At 42.2% G+C, this 20,811-nt stretch overlaps 2 protein-coding genes and 1 non-coding gene across 10 annotated transcripts in view; 2 read left to right on the top strand and 1 right to left on the bottom strand.

Annotated features, from left to right (window-relative positions):
• Positions 1 to 15,525, bottom strand: part of SERPINE3 (serpin family E member 3) — a 25,045-nt gene extending 9,520 nt beyond the window's left edge. For 2 of the 4 annotated variants that reach the window (NM_001386375.1, XM_047430544.1), the window contains exons 1-7: positions 15,473 to 15,525; positions 14,355 to 14,432; positions 13,869 to 14,141; positions 10,731 to 10,964; positions 7,982 to 8,191; positions 6,805 to 7,003; positions 73 to 173 (exon numbers count right to left, since the gene is read on the bottom strand). In NM_001386375.1, the coding sequence (NP_001373304.1) occupies positions 73 to 173; positions 6,805 to 7,003; positions 7,982 to 8,191; positions 10,731 to 10,964; positions 13,869 to 14,124 (1,000 nt within the window). In that variant the 5' untranslated portion in view covers positions 14,125 to 14,141; positions 14,355 to 14,432; positions 15,473 to 15,525. Of the gene's footprint in view, positions 1 to 72; positions 174 to 6,804; positions 7,004 to 7,981; positions 8,192 to 10,730; positions 10,965 to 13,868; positions 14,433 to 15,472 lie in introns of those variants that run through there. The other 2 variants (XM_047430545.1, NM_001101320.1) reach the window with 2 other exon arrangements.
• INTS6 (integrator complex subunit 6) overlaps positions 1 to 20,811 on the top strand; it is a 118,632-nt gene extending 97,821 nt beyond the window's left edge. The window contains exons 19-22 of one of the 5 annotated variants that reach the window (XR_007063673.1): positions 880 to 1,039; positions 8,763 to 8,955; positions 10,189 to 10,238; positions 10,737 to 20,811. The gene's annotated coding sequence lies outside the window, so the exon portion shown is untranslated. Of the gene's footprint in view, positions 1 to 879; positions 4,852 to 8,762 lie in introns of those variants that run through there. The other 4 variants (XR_007063676.1, XR_007063675.1, XR_007063674.1 and 1 more) reach the window with 4 other exon arrangements.
• MIR5693 (microRNA 5693) lies at positions 6,577 to 6,649 on the top strand. The gene has a single exon (NR_049878.1). It is a non-coding gene; the product is annotated as a microRNA 5693 (primary transcript).

The raw sequence follows: 20,811 nt of genomic DNA, 5'->3' as shown, positions 1-20,811 counted from the left end.
TCCCTTAATCAAAGTATGATAAAACTGCCCCAAATACACGGCTAGAACGTTTGGAAGAAGAACCGTTTTTACCTGAAATTCCTTTCAAGTTAGCTTTGAGTGGATCAAAAAGATCGGTGACTCCCCAAGAATTTAAAATGCTTTTTAAGTTGAATTGATTTTGGATCCTAAACCTAAAAGGCAAAAACAAACCATCAACTTTCAAAATTCTCACTCAATATACTTTCATACACACCACATGAAGTCCAAAATCCCTAACTTGGAAGTCAGGCTGGCTCCACCAGATTTATTTCCAGCTTCATCTTCCATGGCGCCTTCCCATAAGCCCTAATCTGACCACACAGGGCTCTTCCCCACCTCTGTACTCTTGTTCCTGCTGTTCATTCTAAGTCTTCCCATTGACTTTGATTGTCTTTTAGTTATTATCCATTTTTCAGTTGTTACCTCCTCCTCTTTTCTTCAGCTATTTTGTGACCTTTGGTTCTTAAAGCCCCATTAATACCTTGTTCTGCTCTTACGATATATAGAACATTCTGCTTCCTATTAGTGTCATTTATGTTATTGTAAACTACCTGAGAAAAGTGGCTATCCCAATTCATTTTTTAAACACTTTTTTTTTTTTTTCTGAGATGGGGTCTCCCTATGTTGCCCGGGCTGGACTCAAACTTCTGGCCTCAAGTGATCCACCTGCCTTAGCTTCCCGAGTAGCTGGGACTGCAGGTGTGCCCCACTGTGCCAGGCTCCAATTCATTTGTATTTCTTAATAAAAATTAATATTTAATGAGTGCTTACATTATGCTAGATACTATAAGAGCTTTATGTGGATTATCAGACATTTCATCTTCATATAACTATGTTATTATTATCCTCATTTTACAGATGGGAAAATCAAGACTTAAAGAGTTTAAGAAACTTGCCCAAGATGACATAATGAGTATGTGATGGACCTCGATTCAAATCAAGCCTGTGTGTGTGCAGAGCCCATGCTCTAGTCACCTACATTTTGCTACCTCCCATCTCGTGTGGCATCTCACATATAGTAGGTGCAGAAAAGAGGCTGTTGACTAATTGCCTTATTGACAATTAATAGAGTATTTTATTTAATAGAGTGTTTATACTGGATAAAATATATTTTCATATTTGCTGTGTGCACTTTATGCCTTTGGAGCACAGTGGGAAAAGAATGGAACTTAAAGCCTTGGTTTTCCTAGTAAACCCTTTGAGCACAAAGAATCACTACACCAATTTTATATTTCCCCAGGGACAAGGCATTTAAAAATTTACTGTTGAAGGATACTTTAAAAGGGCTGCTGATATTATTTTTCTTTGAAAATAAAAAAGATCAAAATGGAAATTAGATGGTCTTTTTCTATAAATAATACAGAACTTGCAGGAGAGTAAAAATATTGAACAAGACCATTTAATATCAAAGGTCTTCATTGCTATACAAGACAGTATGACTCATACTTTAAACAAAAGTATCATACTTTCTCATAAAGGTATGTTTTGAATCTTCAGAATAGTTTCCAAAAAAGAAATATACTTTCTCCAAGTATGCTGACATTTCTCCAAAAAACTTTTGGACTATCTCTTACGAAATTTTCTTAAGTACTGAAAACACATCCTTTTTGAAAACTCTAAATGCTGAAACAGTGGTTATGAGCATGGACTTGGGAATCCAATGCCTGAGTTTGAATCCTGGATCAAGTAACTACCTGCAAACTAGTTACTTTACCTCCGTGGGAAGTTACTTTGCTTCTCTTTGTCACAGTCCTCACTTGTGAAATGACCATAATTGTAATGCGTGTTTGTAGGGTTGTAAAGATTAAATGAATGAATCCTTGTAAAGTGCTTGGAACAATCCCCAGCACAGCCCATGCACTTATTGTTACCATTGTGATTTTTAAATTATTTTTCAATTATGTTGAGAAAGAGTTAATTAAGGGCTATTTGAAACTAAATATGATTATGGTGGGTAATAAAACTGGATAATATCATTTTTCATAAACTAAAAACATCAGTAAAAGTGAGATATGACTATAAAAGATTAGAGTGATTGTCTTGTATGGCTATGAAGGCAGATCCAGCAGAAATGCTACAAAAATAACTTGAGTAAAAAAATACCCTTTACCAATACCAGACAAGGATATTACAAGAAAGACAAATTACAGACCAATATACCTTATGAATATAGATGCAAAATCTTCAACAAAATACTAGCAAATTAAATCCAATACCATATAAATCTCACCATGACAAAGTGGGATTTATCCCAGGAATGCAAAGTGGGTTCAACATATGAAAACCAATTAATATAATATACCATATTAATAGAATAAAGGACAAAGGCCACATCACCATCTCAATAGATGCAGAAAAAGCATTTGACAAAGTCCAACACCCTTTCATGACTAAAAACAAACAAACATCAAACATACAACAAACTTTGGATAGAAGGTAACTTCCTTAAATTGATGAAGGGCAGCTACAAAAACCCCACAGCTAATATCACACATTACAGTAAAAGACTGAAAACTTTCCCCCTAAGATCAGGAACAAGACAAGAATGTCCACTCTGACCCCTTCTATTTCACATGGTACTGGAGGGCGAGTAGGACAATTAAATGAGAAAAAGAAATAGAAGGCATCCAGGTTAGAAAGAAAGAAGTAAATCTATCTCTATTCACAGATGACTTGGTCTTATACATAGAAAACCCTAAAGAATCCACACACACAAAAAAAAACCTATCAGAGCTAATAAATGAGTTCAGTAAGGTACAGCATACAAGATTAAGATACAAAAATCAATTGTGTTTGTATACGCTATAGAACAATCTGAAAATGAGTAAAAATTAAAAGGAGTAAAATACTTAGAATAAATTTAATGAAAGAAGTGCAAGACTTGCATAATGAAAACCACAAAACATTGTTGAAAGAAACAAAGAAAGACCTAAATGGAAGGAAAGATATTCTGAGTTCATGGCCCAGAACATTTAATATTGTTAGAAAGTAATACTCACCAAATTGATCTGCAGATTCAACACAATCCCTGTCTAAATCCCTCCTGCATTTTTGGCAAAAATTGACAAGCTGATTCTAAAATTTATATGAAAATGCAAGGGGCCCAGAATAGCTAAAACAATCTTGAAAAAGAAGAAAGTTGAAGGACTCAAACTACAGTAATGAAGACTGTGTGGTACTGGCAAATATACAAATATCTATGCCTATAGGATAGAATTGAAAGTCCAGAAATAAACTTAGACATTTATGGGCAATTGATTTTGACAAAGATGCCAAGAAAATTCAGTGGAGGAAAGAAAAATCATTTTAACAAATGATATTGGGACAAAGGGATAGATACACACAAAAGAATGAAGTTGAATCCCTACCTCATACTATATACAATAATTAATTCAAAATGGATTAAAGACCTAAATGTAAGAGCTAAGCCTATAAAGTTCTTGGAAAAAAAACATACACCTAAATTTTTGTGACCCTAACTAGACAGTGGTGTCTATTCAATATAATATGGCATCGAAAGCGCAAGAAACAAAAGAAAACATAGATTAATTGAGCTTCATCCAAATTAACAACTTTTGTGCTTCAAAGGACACCATTGAGAAGTGAAAAGAAAAACCACAGAATGACAAAGTATTTACAAATCATATATCTGTTAAGGTACTAGTATCCAGAATAAAGAACTATTACAACTCAATAATAAAAAGACAACCAATTTAAATATGGGAAAAACCTCTGAAATAGACATTTCTACAAAAAAGACATTTCTCCAAGTACATGAAAAGATGCTCTACCTCATTAGTCATTAGGGAAATGCAAATGAAGTCCACAATGAGATACTACTTCACACCAACTAGAATGGCTAAAATAAAAAGATGGTCATTAACAAGTGTTGACAAGGATGTGGAGAAACTGGATTCCACACACATTACTGGTAGGAATGTAAAATGGTGCAGTGACTTGGAAAACAGTTTGATAGTTCTTCAAAATGTAAAATGTAGGGTTACCACATGACCTAGTAATTGCATTCTTAGGTGTATATCCAAGATAATTGAAAATATATATACACAAAAAAATGTGCACTTGATTGTTTCTGGTGGCCAAGAAGTTAAAACAAGCCAAAATGTGTCTAGGCACTCAAATATCTATAAATTGATGAATAGGTAAACAAAATGTACTATATCAATACAATGGAATATTATTCAGTCATAAAAAGGAAGATAGTATTGATTCATGCTACTATGAACCTTGAAAATATTATGCAAAGAAGCCAGACACAAAAGGCCACATATTGTATAATTGTACAATATGTAATTGTATAATTTCACTTACATGAAATTCTCGAATAGGCAAATCTATTGAGAGCAAATAGATCAGAGGTTGCTGGGAGGTGGGGAGGGGAGCTGGGAGTGACTGCTAATGGATATGGGGTTTCTTTTTGAGGTGATGAAAAGGTTCTGGAATTAGTAGTGATGGTTGCACAACTTTGTGAACATACTGAAAACCTCTGAATTGTGTACTTTAAAATGGTGAATTTTATAATATGTGAATTATATCTTGATTTTTTAAAAAAGAAACACTCCTAGAAAAGCATAAACCACACACCATGATAATCAGCAGCTCCTGGGAGGAAGGGCAAAACTCATTTTGAATATGTGGGATCTGGTGGATTTTAAGAAGATATATATTATATCTAATATCAAAACATGCTCATGCTCAGCCTTCTATGTTGACCTAATAATCAAATGTTTTATTCATTACATACATATTTGGCATTATTAGTCTTTCTTGTGGGACATCATATGATTGTGGTTATAAACAACCCTTAACACATTCTTGGTTTTCTTGATTATTCCTTTAGTATGCTAAGCGTCCCTCATGAAGATTAACAGTCCCTATGCACTTTTTTTATTTATTTATAAATAAAAGGTTACTTTGGAAGCTAGACACCATAATTCGTCCAGAATCTACTAGTGCACTGCTTGGTGATGTCTAACCTGAAAGCACATCTCATAGTCACACAATTTTGCATTGCTACCCACAGTGTGCAAAATTTTTTTGCTCTTGTTAAACGAAAAATGCCTGCTGACTGCAGAGCAAGTCATACTAAAAGAAGAATGAGTGATTTGAGAGAATGAGAGGTAAATCCCTGCCTAAAAGCTGACTTTGTGTCTACCGTGATCCAAAGTTTATACCTAAATCTAGACCTAAGAGAGTTTTTACTTTTTTTGTTTTGTTCCCCAAAGGATTTAAAGCTAGCTTAAAAACAAACAAAAAAAACTTGGTTAGTTTTACTTGTGAAATAACTTCATTTTCCTAAAAACCTCTATCCTCCTTGGACAGCAGTCTTGGTAGTCTTAAGGAGATTTAAAAAAAATTATCAGAATGAGGTTAAGTGCTAACTAATAGTTGTGTTACTAAGATTTCTGCCTTGCCTTGCCTTCCCTGCCTGCCAGTGTTTTTCAGTTTTCAAACTGCTTGAGGGTTTGAGACTCCTAAAAGCAGAATCAGGACGGTGGAGAGTTCTCAGTGGAGCTGGGAATTTCCCCGGGGTCTCTTCCAGGGAAGAACTGCTCGAGGATGAGTCCCACCATCTGTCTCTTAAACCCAAAAAGGTTGTGGCGAATTCTCGCACCAGCCTCCTTTTTCTCTCTACTTTTGACACGGAACGCTGCTCTTCCTTCCCTTGCTGAGTTTCTCTCAAATATAATAGGAAGATTAGGGTTGCTTCTGCTCCCTCCCTGAGAGATCTGTTGAAATATCCAGTATTTGGGTTTTGGTTTGGGGTCCAAATATTTAGTTTTGAGAGATACACTTTACCTTAGAGTTAAGTGCACCTTTTGCCCTGGGTTATGCCAGATCTCACTTTAGACCTTGGCCCTTAACTTACTGGGTCTCTCTTTGTATTTTTTCCTTCTAGTGCATAGATTTACTTTTAACTCCTCAAGGGAGTACTGCCAAGGACTTTGCCTTTGCCTACTGGAAGCCCAGGCAGTGGAGAGAGGCCAAGGCATCTAGTGGCTACTGGACAACATTCCTTGCTTAATGCTGGTCAAAAAATGGTTATAAATTTACTCTGATTTCAAATACATCACAGAAGCTCATCATTTAAAGAAGCCCTAAGAGGAGTCTTTTTGTAAAGTTATGAGTTTTGCTAATAGATTTTGTTTTGAAAAAGCAACATAGAATGCCACCACTTCACTTTTTGATTTGTATTTGTACCTATTGGGTCTTCTTAAAGGAGAGTTCACCTCCATTTAGAAAGAATGAGAACCTTCTGCACAGAGACTTAAAGTGTCAAAATTTTATGCCTTAATTTGGCGTCTGATCAGAATTTTATCTGTACTTGCTCAATTACGTAAGTCATCTTATCTCTTTGGTTTTGGAAAAATGACAGTTGTATACTCTTAGGATGGGATAAGATTTGGGCAACGTTCCTACAAGGGAACCACGAGCATTTCCTTTCCAAAAACTGGTCCAGCCTAGGGCTGGATCAGGGGGTCCTGGGGGGCTCCATTCCAGCCCAGTGAAGGCAGAATATCTTGTCTTGGAAAGACTCTGGGAAGTTAGTTCATTTCAGTCTGTGCTGTGAGCTAGCCAGCAGTGGCTCTGAAATGAACTCAAACTCTAGGGTCACTTCCTCTTGGTCTAACTTCTGGGGATACATATTAAACAAGTCATCCCAGTGGCTAAGCACAGACCCTGGAGGCAGACCACCTGTGTGCAAATCCACGCTCTTCTGACTGCTGGCTGCACAGCACCTGTGAGGGGGACTCAGCTGCTCACCTGGGCAGGAACACATCCATCCTGGCTCTCCTCAGGCTGGTGGTCCAGAGGTGGATGGTGCTGGCTGTGAGGTGTGGCTCGATGTGGCTCAGGGGGGTGTCTTTGTCACGGGGCAGCACCAGGAACAGACTCACTGCACTTCCCAGGTAAGGAAGCTCCAGCACCCCCACCTGATGGCCTGCAGTGTCCTGGAACTGACCTGAGGGTACAGTGGATCAGAGGTCAGCTCTGTCCCAGGAGCCAGGAGAATGAACCAGTGTCGGACCCTGAGAGAGGCTGGCTCAGAGGACTGGAAACAATAAAACCGAGCATCCACCTCACCCTCAGGAGGCGGTTTCAGGCCAAAGACTGTTGGGCGATATGGTCATTTTATAAAAATCCTAGACCTAGAGTCTTTAAGATACCCTCACAGGACCAGAGTTAGAGGTTCTCTAGGACTGGGTATGGGGGGGGGGACGATGGCACATGCAGAACCACATAGAGTAGTGCCCCCTTATCCTTGGCAGATATGCTCCAAGAACCCCAGTAGAGGCCTGAACCTGTGGATGGTAACGAGCCCTGCATATACTATGTTTTCTCGATCTGATGACTGAGATGGCTACTAAGTGACCAACGGGCATACTGTAGACAGCCTGGGGATGCTGGACAAAGGGATGGTTCATATCTCAGGTGGAACAGAGAAGGACGTCAGGAAATTTCACCACACTATTCAGAAGGGCGTGCAGTTTAAAACTTGAGAATTATTTGTGAAATTTTCCATTTAATATTTTCTGATGCGGATAACTGAAACCTCAAAAAAGCAAAATCATGGATAAGGGTACAGGGTACTACTGTACCCGATCTTAAAGGAGCAGCCATTCAATCCCGGCCTATTGTGCCTGCCAGGGTGGCAGTTTGGTCCAAACTCTACTAGTGCAGAAGGAAATGTCAGGCATGAAACTGAGTTTCTCTTCCACATCTGTGTCCTCACTGTCCTGTCAGAGCACACTGTCCCACACTCCTCTCTAAAGTCTCCGGGCACCTTAGTCTTTCCTTCCGCCATGCATGCCCAGTCCAGCAGATGGACCCTGCGGAAACACATCCCGATCCCTTAGGAGCAGGGACCTGGCCTCCTCTCTCCTGCCCTCAGGCCCAGGCTTCCTCTCCCTTTAGACAAACCAGCAGGGGCAGAGCTCACCGTAGTTGACCTCGGTCGTTTGGTGCATCATGGGGACCTGAAGGACGAGGCCATAGGCACAGGTGAAAGGCAGGATCTGTGTGTCTGTGGAGGAGAATCTCTTTCGCCAAGTGCCTTGGAAGGACATGGTGCTCACAAGCACAAGCTGAGCAAATGCTGCACTGACTTGCTCCCACGGCCAGCCACCAGGGCCCTCACTGGGGCCCCCACCTGCAAGCAGGAAAGCAAGGTGGCCATGGGTTAAATGTGCATTGAAACTGAACCGAACCCAGTGTGTGTGCGGACAAGGAGTGCAGAGTTAAAATGCGAAAATGCAGGTCTTTTTGCTTAAGGTGGTCTCTCTCTTCATCTTACAATATCTTTTTAGTCTACTTAAGAATATTTAATTCCCTGTCTCAGCTCCTTGTGCTGTCAGGGACCCAAGGCACCAGGAGCTGCTCTCAACTTTTGGGGACTGTTGAGCGATATGGTCATTTTATAAAAATCCTAGACCTAGAGTCTTTAAGATAACCTCACAGGGCCAGAGTCAGAGGCTCTGTAGGGCTGGGTATGGGGGCGACAATGACAACCCCTGCTGGGGGATGAGGGTGTGGAGAGGGAAATGGAAAGTGAGAACTCAGAAGTCCTGACACCTGGGTGACCAGTCAGGGGAGGTGGGGGCAGTGAGTCATCTCTGGAGTTGGGTTGGTAGAGTATTTATTAAAATATGTTCATTGCAAATTGATATGTGTTTATAACCAGCTGTTGCTGAAGACCCTGCTTTTTATTCTTTTCTGAACAGGTTGGGATGCTGCTCCTGGTTCTGTTTGGGGCCATTTCCTAGGAATTATTAGACATTCCCTCCCCAGGCAGACCCTTGGAAGGAGTATGTGCTGTGATGGGAGATCCTGCACATTGTCGCCCCCAGTCCCCACCCTGCCCCGCTGCTGAGCTGAATCTCTCACTGAGCCTTTGCTTAGAAAACAATATTCAAGGTATGGTCTTTGTAGGGCTGCAGTTAAAATTTCATGCAGTGTCAGAAAGAGGAGCTGGCAGACCACCCTTAAGGGGATAGTTTTTGTCCCAGCTGTTTATTTGTTTAATATGCACACACTTTGTGATAGGCTCTGTTCTAAGTGCTTTAGCAAATCCTCACCGACTCCTCCTAACAGTTCTATTATTATTCCCTATTTCACAGGTGAGGGAACTGAGGCTCAGAGAAGTTGGGCAAGGTCACATACTTATGAGGGGTGAAGCCACCATCCACCCAGTTACCCAATGCAATGTGGATTGCATTGAAATAGAACCCTAGCAGCTCCATGGAAAGCTTGGATTTGAACCCAAGCAGCCTGGCTCTGGACTCTGTGCTCTGAGCAACTGAGCCAACTGCCCCTTTTTCTTAGAGGACAATCAGCCTGCACTGGGAGCTGCTTCTCTGGCCTTACGCCCTGGCAGCACAAGGATGTGAGCAGGGAATTAAACATATTTAAGTAAATTGAAAAGACATGGTAAAATAAAAGAGCATGAGAGAGAACTTTATCACAAAAGATGTTAATTTTTGCATTTAATTCTGCCATCCTTGTCCACACACTTACTGTTTTCCATTCAGTCGTAGTATACATATCACTTCCTATTCTGCTTTTTTTTTTTTTTTTTTTTTTTTGAGATGAAATCTCACTGTTGCCCAAGCTGGAGTGCAGTGACGCAGTCTCAGCTCACTGCAACCTCTGCCTCCTGGGTTCAAGCGATTCTCCTGCCTCAGCCTCCCCGAGTAGCTGGGATTACAGGCACATGCCACCATGCCTGGCTAATTTTTTGTATTTTTAGTAGAGACGGGGTTTCACCATGTTGGCCAGGCTAGTCTCAAACTCCTGACCTCGTGATCTGCCCGCCTTGGCATCCCAATCCTATTTTGCTTTTTAACCAACACTGGGTCTTGAATGTTCTCCACATTGCTATGAAACTTTTGAAATGATCAAGGATGCTGGAGCCGGACCACCTGGGTTAGAATCCTGGCCTGTGGACCCTGGGCAGGAGGCTGAGCCTTCTGTGCCTCAGTTTCTCCATTTATAGAATGGGGAGAGTAATAGCGCCTACCCCTTAGGATTATTGTGAGGGTGAACTGAGACAATCAACTGGGAGCAGTGCTAACTAAATAAACTAAACACTCAGTAAACGTTCATGATTTTAATTATCTTTCATAATAATTACAACTGTATAACATGCAGGTGCTGTGCTACACTGATTCACACCTCATTGCTGGGCAGCGAGGCTGTTTGTAAGTCTCTTTCTTCAATAACACTGAGCTAAACATCTTATTGTGTGTAACTTTTTCTTAAATTATTTCCTTAACCTAAATTCCCAGGAAACCACTTTTTTTGGCTCCTGTTGCACTTTGCCATCACAGGTGGTTTATTATAAATGAGAGCAGAGCTCAGTCGGGGGACAGTTGCATGGGAGAAAGCCTGTGGGGTCCTCCGAGGTGGGAGGCTCTGAAGAGCACAATTCTGTGTTCTTGTGTGCTCTTGTGGCTCGTGTGTGTGTGTGTGTGCCCATGTGTATATTTGTGTGGGAGAGGGTCAGAGCAGGAAGAGAGGCAGAAAGGGACTTAGTGTCCCCTTGTCATTCAAGGGTAGGATCTCCTAAGAGGACAGACTTCTGCTGTAATTGAAGGTGGCCTGAGCACCATGGCCTCTGACAAGTGATGGGTGAGACTCTGTCTCTGCAGCCCTCTGCCTTAGCCTTGTTGAAATGTACAGTTTTCTTTTACCTGCAGTCTCTCTGGAGGCCCCTTCGCTAGTCTGGATGGCGGTGCTATTGGGCTCACTGAGGTCGGCTGGTTCCAGGCTGCTGTTAGCCCACCAGGAGACGTGCTCCACAAAGCAGGGGGACAGTGGCGTTCCCACTTGCACAAAAAGGCTGCAGGCCAGCTCCATCTCGGTGCCTTGGCTGGAGGTGGGTAGTGTGGCATAAACAGCATGCAAGAAATCTTTCACCCTTTTGTCTGTGAAAAACAAGTTGGGATAAGTTGACAATGGTGAGTGTGAGTAAGGAGTTAGCACAACCTCCAGCACACATTGCATTGAGATGGAACGCCAGCAACTCCACTCTTGCTCATAAGGTTCATCTACCATACAAAGCCAGTTTGAAAAAGTCATAGCTAATGTGCTCAGAAATCAGCCTGGATCCACCAATTAAAAGTTGGGAAGAAACCATGCTAGATATGAAAGAAATCAAGCTGCAATGAAGTCAAATAGAAAAACACTACCAACATCCAGTAGATGAATAGAGGATATTCTTCCTTAATTTTCTGCTTTAGGAAGGTTGATGTGTGTTGGAGTAGAGATTCTAGGGCTGGGAAAACAGCAGGTCCAGGGTGCAGGGTGATGGGGTTTCAAACACATCAGGAGATTTATGTGCAATGTTACAGTGACAATGATGGGAGGTGGCCAGGATGTTGTGCTGTCAATATGTCTTGTACGGGGCTTTAAATCCATTCCCACAACTGCGTGTCATGAGCCTGAGTAACATTTGGATTCAGCCTTGTGTAGAACTATGCTTTCAATTTGAGAAATACAGAGGAAAAGTAAGAACTCCTCCCATCCCCCGTTTCCCTAAGACCCAGCAGACAGCTTGTGTTATTAATGTCAGTGAAAGGCTGCAAGAATGTCAAGGAAATAATAAGCATTTGAGGGAGTCGATAGCTTCCACCTTCGTGGATGGCAGCTGGACTTCTATTTATTTACTGTTTATACAGGAGATTGCTTCCTTCTTTCCATGATCAATAGTGGATTTTGTTTTCATGTTATTATTCACAAGCTGCAGCTTCTGTCCTCCCCCAGGCATCCCATAGCTGGAACGAGGGCTCTTGCCCACTGGTGAGTCCAGACACAGTGGCGTACCCCAAGCTTCTCATTCCTGACACATGCAAGCTGAGTGTTTCCAGAAGTGAAGCCCCCTTGCTTAGGCTGCTTCTACTCCCTTTTAGGCACAGCCCTGCAGTTATCTACAAACCCTCCCTGTAAGACAAAATGCTGGGTATCTTTTCCTCCACTACCTGGCTCCGGCTGGTTTTCACTGGGATGAAACTCTCACTCACTTGGGGTCTGTCCCCTCTGACACCCTTCATGTTGCAGAAGCCAAGCCAGGAGGCAGCAGCAGACCCCTGAGTTTCCTGGCTAATGTTCTCTGGAGGCACGGGAACCCAGAGTCCACCCTGGCCAGGGTCCCCAGCCAAACGAGGCTGCAGAGGACAATAGTAGGCAGACATCACTTGTCCACAATATGTTCACTACCGAAGCTGCTCCTGAGAATCCACAATTGCAAAAGACTGACTCAGAATCTTGATCTCATGAATCAGCCTAACTTAAGTGCTTGCATTTGAGTGTAGTAAGAAAAAAATGGATAAAAACATACTTATAATCAGATTTTACTCTATCGAGGAAGGTCACATGTATTTCTGAGATCACATTCCTAGGAATGTTGACTGTCTGCAGAGAAGAATTGAAACACTTCCCTTGTCCATAGTGTGGTGTGACCTGAGGAATGGTCACAGAACTCTCCTCTCCATCTTTCCACCCTCTCTGGGCCAGGGGACCCACATTCTTTTAGTCAGAAACATTAAAATAGTAGAGTAAGTTGGCTTGAAGTGAATTTTTGTGTGAAATCTTTTCTCTGCCCTAGCCTAGTTTGTCCATGCACATTTGCACACAGGAAGAACATTTTTAGACCTGCCAGAATATGCAATGACAGGGTAAAAAATGCCGGAGGTTGACTGTGTTCATAGACATTGTGCTAAACACTCAACACTCCTGATCACACTGAATGCTTTTGACAGTCCTGTGAATTGAGGGCTATTATTATCCCCATTTTATATATGAGCGAGCAGAGGCCCAGACAGATTAACAAAGGTGCTCAGTGTCACCCAGGTATAGGTGGTGGGGCTTTACTGCCCTGCTCACCCACAGGGTGAAGAATGGGTAGGCCGGGATGACCCTGCCTAGGACAGCTTCATTCCACTTTGAATGAACGTGAGGCCGCAGAGCTCATAGCCTCTTTTTTTTTTTTTTTTTTTTTTGTTCTGTCTTTGCTGAATTCCTAGATCCTAGTCTAGGAAGAAAAATGTTAATGTGTGTGAGTATCTGTTTTAGCTGGAGTTGGTAGATTGGTTCTGAGGCCAGGCATTGAGCTGAGGCACTGAGCGTAAGCAGAGGGGAAGCTGACCTGGCATTCGAAAGACTCATGCTGCTGCCGGCAAAGCCGCTCTAAAATACATAATCCATAGAAATAAGCTGGCAGATCTGGCACTGGCTAGAAGTCACAGATTTATAAAAGCAGGTTGGTCAAAAGCATGGGCTCTTAAACCAGGCAGCCTGGGCTTGAGTCCCAACTCTGTCACTTATTGGCTCTGTGAACTTGAGCAAGTTGCTTCAACTCTCCATGCCTATTTGCTCATCTCTGAAATTGGGATGATAATAAAATTATCATCCTCAACAGAGCTGTTGTGACAATTAATTCAATTAATGTTTGTAAGTGCCTCCAGCACTGCCTGGCACCTAGGAAGGCACTATGCTAGGGTGTGTCAAATGAAACTGAAACATTGCCATGAAACCTATTAGGTTAGAAGGGAACCTTAAAATTCAAGGGTCACCACCATCCCAAAGTCTGAATGCCTTCTGTCACAGACCTGTCCAGTGATCACTCTTCCCCATGTGCACACCATAGGGAGCTGAGCTCCCTATCTCCCAGGTAGCCTGAGCAGCAGGGTGAGCTGGAGAGAGTGAGTGTGAGTATGAGCAGCAGGGTAAGCTGGAGAGAGTGAGTGTGAGTGTGAGCAGGAGGGTGAGCTGGAGAGAGTGTGAGTGTGAACAGGAGGGTAAGTGAGTGTGCACGTGGGCAGGCCTCTTACCATGGACAGTGTACCCCAGGGCATCTGCCAGCTGCTGACCAGTGCTCCCTTCTGCTCCAAACTGCAGGATCTCCAGGGGGAGGGACACACCAGCAGGAGAGATGACAAAGTTCGTCTCATTTCTACACGCGGCCACACTCTGGTAGAGGTGAAGTGCAAACTCAGTCTTCAGCAATGTCATTCCTTCACGGAGGTGGCCATTTGCTCGGAGGCAGCAAGAGTGAAAGAGGAAGAGGGTGATCAGGAAAGGCGGCATGGAGGCTGGGAGGGTTCCTGCAATTCAGAGGGAAGAGATGCAGGGTAGGCTGGAAGCTGGTGATGAAAGAGGGCCATGTCCCACAGAGGACTGGGACCCCCAGCTCTGTTTTTAGGGGCTAGGGACGGCTGAGGGAGAGATGCATTGAGCTGTCTTGGTTACCTACCCTGAGGCCCAGCCGTCTGGGCTGCAGAGCTGCACCCTCTTGTTTCAGCATTAGAAATACTCACTGTGGTCCTTTGGCAGCCAAACTGTGGGTCTGAAGATCTGCTTCGGCCACTTACTGGATGTGTGACTTTAGCAAAGCCCTGGTCAGATCAGAAGCAAAGCATTATGTTGGGAAAAGAAATGTAAGAGGTAATCCTACTCATTGTTCTTGGTATATAGTCAGCTTATAGCTGTGCTGTGTCTATCAGGAATAATAATAAATAATTATCTACTATGTTAAAAAGGACTTTGTACATTTGCAGTTAATCATCCCAACAATCTCACTAGTATCTGTTATTATATTTCATCTATAAAGAGGATGATTGAACCTTTGAGGCCCAGTGACTCATTTGTATGGGGAAAGAAACAGTGCTGTGACTCAAATCCTGGTCTTCTATGAGTGGTATATAAAATTTTGAGAATACCTATGTGAATTAAAATATTGATACATGAACTAATTGTACCTCGAATATCAGAATTCTTGTGATGCAAATTAGTCTCTAAAAAAGAATATTTTCACAAAGATAGTTCCTACCCCAGAAATGTACTCTTCCAAGGAAGAGAGATCATTAACTAGAAAATAATGCAAGAAGAGAAAGGCAAAGTAAAAAAATGTTTTCAACGACCATGCCACACATCCAGCCAGCAGCAGTTTTTGTTAAGTTGTCTGACTGTGGTATCATACCAAACTGATGTAAGAAGAGGTCCAGAGTCACTTCCTGGACTCACCAGTGAGCAGCTCACCCTGCTACTCACGCTCACACTCACTCTCTCCAACTCACCCTCCTGTAGAAGTTTACAAGCAAGGCCACTGAGCACGATGGTGCCTATTTTAGGTAAAGGTCCAAGATAGAAAACATCTTCTCTTTTTTCCAACCCTTCCTCCCTACAGCCAAGTACAAATGCAGTGCTTGGATGACCTTGGTACATAGGGCTCTCTCTCTCTCTCTTTCTTTCTATGTGTGTGTGTGTGTGTCCCAGCCCAGGGTCATTTGCAAAACTCTTAAGCCCCAGGGTTCTCACAGCTCTTATAACCTCCCATCTCCCACAAGAACACTCTCAGCAATCAGACCTTGATGCCCCTGGGCTCCCCATGAACAAATCCCTGTCATGGCTCACCTCGAATGAGCCACGTACTCACAGACTTTTGTATCACTGTTGCACGTTTCCTTGCTCGACTCTGTTCTTGTGGGTCTCCAGCATTCATGTGCTCCCCTTTTAAAAAAGTGGAGCAGAATCTGCTTTGAATCACAAGACAGCACAGAGAGGAAGCTGGCGATTGCCGTCTCTGCCGGCGATGTCTCTACCACTCGGTCCAAATTCCTGGAGCCTGGAGGTCCTGCAGAGAGCCAGGAGAAGCAGCCCAGCCCAGGGCAGCAAAGCCCAGATCGGGAACAGAGCAGGGCCGTGGGGGGAGAGCCAGCCACACCCGTCAAGCCTTCTTAGGCTTGTGACCTGGTTGTACCAGCAAGGAACCCCTCATCCAGCCCTTTGTCACATTGAGGAATTCCACTGATAACTTTGCTTGTTGGGCTTTTGCTGGGTACCAGGTACCTAATGCTTCCCCCCTCCTCCTGTGAAGAAAACAATAAATCAGTCATTGGGCATGACTTAAAACTTTCAGCAAATGAAAAGAAATTCTGCAAAAGAGAAAACAACGCAAGATATGGCACGATCAGTTCGGAGCAGGGTGACTTGCCTCATTTATTATTTATCAAAGTGAATGCACTAATTTATATATGTAACTTGAGTTATTAATAATCTGGTTCTTCTCAGATACAACAGTTCGTAAGTCCAATGACTAATTTGAGAAAGAGACCATGTTGTCAACGAGTAGACACATATTTTTGAAAAATATGAGCAGGTTCTGTCAAAAGTCTGTCCTTGTGATCAATTCAGAATTACATACATTTTTATTAAGGACTTAGGCCTTGTATTAAGTTCAAAATAGATGGTAGCTTATATGTGGTTACAGATTAAAGAAGAACTGAATGCAATTCTTAATAATTATCTCTCAGGCATCTGTAAGTGTTAATATTTGAAAATCAATGGACTGTTTTCACTTGACAACTACCCCTGTAATCAGTGGGTAATTCACTTTAAAGAGTTTTATTGCTGACACCCAAACCTGGGATTGTTTACAGGTCTTAGGATAGTTACAGTTCTATAATTGCATCACATAAAATATCCCCAAATCTTTACTTTAGATTCAATGCAATTGTGAATGGACAGGGTATTCTCTAAGCCATAGTATGAAAGGAGAATAAACAGGTTTAACTTATTCTATAGCACCCAGAGAGGGCATATCATTCATCCATCTGTCCATCTGTCCATCCATCCATGCATCCATCAATCCATCTGTCCATTCATCTGTCCATCCATCCGTCTGTCCGTGCATCCATCCATCCATCCATCCATCCATCCATCCATCCATCCACCTATCCATCCATCCAACAAATATCTCTTGATCACCTGCTTGGTCACAAATCACTGTGCTGCTAGGTTCTGGGCATATGGCAGTGAACCAGTAACCTGGGCTCAGCTTCTATGGGACTTAGAGTCTTGCTCACTGCCTGCGTATTTTAGATGTTGATGGTGATGGAGCGGCAGTAACTTGTGAGGACTGCCTTGTCACATTGTGAGCTGCCTGTAGCAGGAATTCCAGGGGAAACAGCTGATTCACTATTTGCCAGTGGTAGCAGTGGAGAGAAGCTTATAAAAAGATTTCCCAAATTAAAAAAAGGTTGTTTGTGTAACTTCTACAAACATTTCTTTCTAACTCTATGAATATGCCATTCTAACTTGCTTTTAAGAAGCATCCTTCGGGAAAAATGCTAGGGAAATTTAACATACAGGATATATTTTCTATATAGGCTAAACATTTCAAAGTGTGAATGAATGAAAGATGAACTGCAAGTGATTTTTCTTCTGTGTACTCAGCCTTGAACCTGGGTAAGTCACTGTGGTCTCTGACCATTTAAGCAGAGATTATCATGTTTATTTCTATCTTGCTGGGATGGATGTTCATTATACTGCTAAGTGAGGCTCCATTCTTGGAGATATTTATTTGTAATTTTAACAACATATATAGAGAGCATTACTGAGCACTTACTGTGTTCCAGCTACTCTATTAGACCCTGTCCATTCACAATTGCAATGAATCCTCACAGCAATCCTATGAGGAATGTATTATCATTCCCATTTTGCAGATGAAGAAACTAAGTCTGAAGAGCTTAAGATCTTGCCTAAGGTCCCACCAGGCCAAGCTGGGGTTTGAACCTAGGGCCACCTTGACACTAAGGCACATGCCCTTCATCACAGTCTTGGTGCTGTCAGGAGCCAAGGGATGAGGTCTCTTAAAATCCCTCTTGGCTGTAGGATTCTAAGCCTTTCGATGGCCAGCCCAGACTGTTTTGCTCGTAATGCGTGTTCACTTTGCCCACATTTACCAGGAATGCTGTGGTGAATCACCTGTAGGTAGACTGCTATGAGGCCCAGCACTTTTAAAAATTATGGTTTAACATTTTTCACTAGCCGATTCTTATAAACAAATCACTTTCAAATCCAAAGGTCTACCAAACTAATGTGATGGATAGAAGCATTGCATTTCAATTCAGTAAGGACATAATTAATAGGTAGGCATCTCCTTTGTGCTTGTATGGGCTGCCTGTCTGGGGTTGTACAGGAGGAGTCCCATTTGTAGCCCTGACCTTGAGGATTTTGCCATGAAGAGAGAGCACACCCACTGAGGAAGACATGGGCACTGTTAAAAGAAGTCTGAGGGAACAGCTAGAGCAAGCCAGAGGGCAATGCAAGGTAGCCCAGCACATGGTGCTGCACAGCCAGATGAAATTAGCAAGTACTTCATGGGAAATGGTGCAGGTGAGCCTCCACCTGTCCTTCCAGGAAGGCAACGGCAAAGCGCTGCCGCTGGGCTTCCTGCTGTCCCGGCTGATAGCTGCAACACGGCCCTCTGGTACTTCACAGCTATGCAGTGCATAGACTCAAAATGAACCTGGGCCCCTCTACTTTTTGATACCTTTCAGAATGGTGTGCTGGAGAGAGCACAGTGGGCTGGCAGATTTTGGGCAAGTCACTGAATTGCTCTGAGCTTTAGTTGCCTCTTCTGCAAAGTGGGTGTATGATACCTACCTCTCACTGTGAAGATGACAGCAAACAGCCTTATCATGGTGCCTGATAAGCAGGAAAGGCTGAAAGCATCAACTTCTTTGGACTATGTCCCCATCTCTCATCTCATCTTACTTAAGAAAGGACCATCGAGGTCCTTTCATGCTCACATAAGAAGGGGCTTTGGAATCGTCATGTAACCGGCTGGACTATGAATCTATGCTGTTGTATCCAGAAATATGTTTTTATTTTTTTAATTAATTTTTTTTTGAGACAGGGTTTTGCTCTGTCACCGAGGCTGGAGTGCGGTGGCACGACCTCGGCTCACTGCAACCTCTGCCTCCCGGGTTCAAGCAATTCTCCTGCCTCAGCCTCGCGAGTAGCTGGGATTACAGAGGGCTGCCACCATGCCTGGCTAATTTTGTATTTTTAGTAGAGATGGGGTTTCGCCATGTTGGCCAGGTTGGTCTCGAACTCCTGGCCTCAAGTGATCTGCCTGCCTCAGTCTCCCAAAGTGCTGGGATTACAAGCGTGAGCCACCGCATCCAACTGGAAGTATGTTTTTAAATGTCTTGCAAGAAATAGGTTGGAAACTTTAACAAAGATCTCTAGACTTGAATTTAGAGCTAGTTTTTAATCTAACTTGTAGAAACTAAGTTAATAACTTACTTTGTTATTATGTTAACTATTATGTTATTATGTTAACATAAGTTGTTGCTGCCTCAGGTGCAGAGGGTTGAGTTAATCCTCCTCCTCAGTTCATGCCACATAGTCACACTGTTTCATGCAAGCACCCCTCTCTTGATTGTCATTTTGTTTCCTCTTAGGAATATGCTTTGAAAAAGATACATTGTTGTTTTATGTGCATGCATTTTAAATTTACATACCTGCTTTTATGTTATGTATTTCGTTATTCCCTAATGTTTTTGAGTAAACACTACGTTTTTTAAGATGTAGCTGTGTGGTGCTATGCATGCATCTGATCCTGGCTTCCAGCTTCTGGGCGATACTCGACAGTGTGCAACTGCCACATTTTCTTTATCTGCTCTCCCAGTGATGAACATCCAGGTCGCCTTTAACTCCTCGCCAGCGCAAACAGCCCTTGGACAGCTCTTGTGGACTGTGCGGGAATTTCCCTAGGATGTTTACCAGAGAATTTGAAGGTTATACACTATGCATATATTTAATTTACTACGTAGCTCCACACTACGCTCTGGAACATCTACATCCTTCTACACCCCGCCAACACCCCACATCTCTGCCAAGTATTTCCCATCACTTTTATTTTTCAAGTTTAATAGATGCAAAGTCGTATCTCATTCTGTTAATTTGGATTTGATGGGTTACCAATGATTTTGAGCGTCTCATAATATGCTTGTTACTTTTCTGTTTCCTCTTCTGAAATTACCCATTTATACCCTCTATCCATTTTTCTATATTGTGGTTGTTGTTTTCTTCTTGATTTGTAGTCCACATAGAGTATACATCCCTTGCCAATTTTAGATATTGCAAATATTTTCTCCCCTTTTGGCCATTATCTATTTACTCTCTTCATGATGTCTTTTGTTGAAGAGAAATCCTTAATTTTCATGTATTTATATTTATATTGTTCTTTGCCACTGATGTGTAGTGACCCTTCTCTCATGTGTTAGATCACTGGATACACATGGGTATGTTCTGAGCTCTCTTCTCCATTCCATTGTCAATTCCTCTTTACCAAATTGCTTTCATAACTACGGCTTTAAAATATGTCTTTTTTTTTTTTTTTTTTTTTGAGACGGAGTCTTGCTCTGTCACCCAGGCTGGAGTTTAGTGGCATGATCTCAGCTCACTGCAACCTCTGCCTCCTGGGTTCAAGCAATTCTCCTGCCTCAGCCTCCCAAATAGCTGGGATTACAGGTGCCTGCCACCATGCCCAGCTAATTTTTTGTATTTTTAGTAGAGACGGGGTTTCACCATGTTGGCCAGGCTGGTCTTGAACTCCTGACCTCAGGTGATCCACCTGCCTCGGCCTCCCAAAGTGCTGGGATTACAGGCGTGAGCCACCATGCCTGGCCAAAAGATGTCTTATTATATAATAGACAAGTTCTGCTCTTTACTATTCTTTTTAAAAGTTGATTTAGCTTTCAAAAACGTTTATTAATTCTCGAAATAAATTTTAAAGTAAGTTTATTAAGCGCCTCAAAAAAATCCAACTAAAATGGGATTATCATGACACTTAATCTATTGATTAATCTGGAAAATTTTAACAACTTAATAAGTTATCCCATCCAAGACTGTGGAATGTCTTTCCATTTATTAAAATCATCTCCTATCATAGATTATTTTAATAAAATTTTAAAGTTTTAAAAA

This window comes from Homo sapiens, chromosome 13 (assembly GCF_000001405.40).
Source record: "Homo sapiens chromosome 13, GRCh38.p14 Primary Assembly".
Classification (NCBI taxonomy): domain Eukaryota; kingdom Metazoa; phylum Chordata; class Mammalia; order Primates; family Hominidae; genus Homo; species Homo sapiens.
Note: the sequence above shows the minus strand (reverse complement) of the source record. Positions and strands in the feature narration are given on the sequence as shown.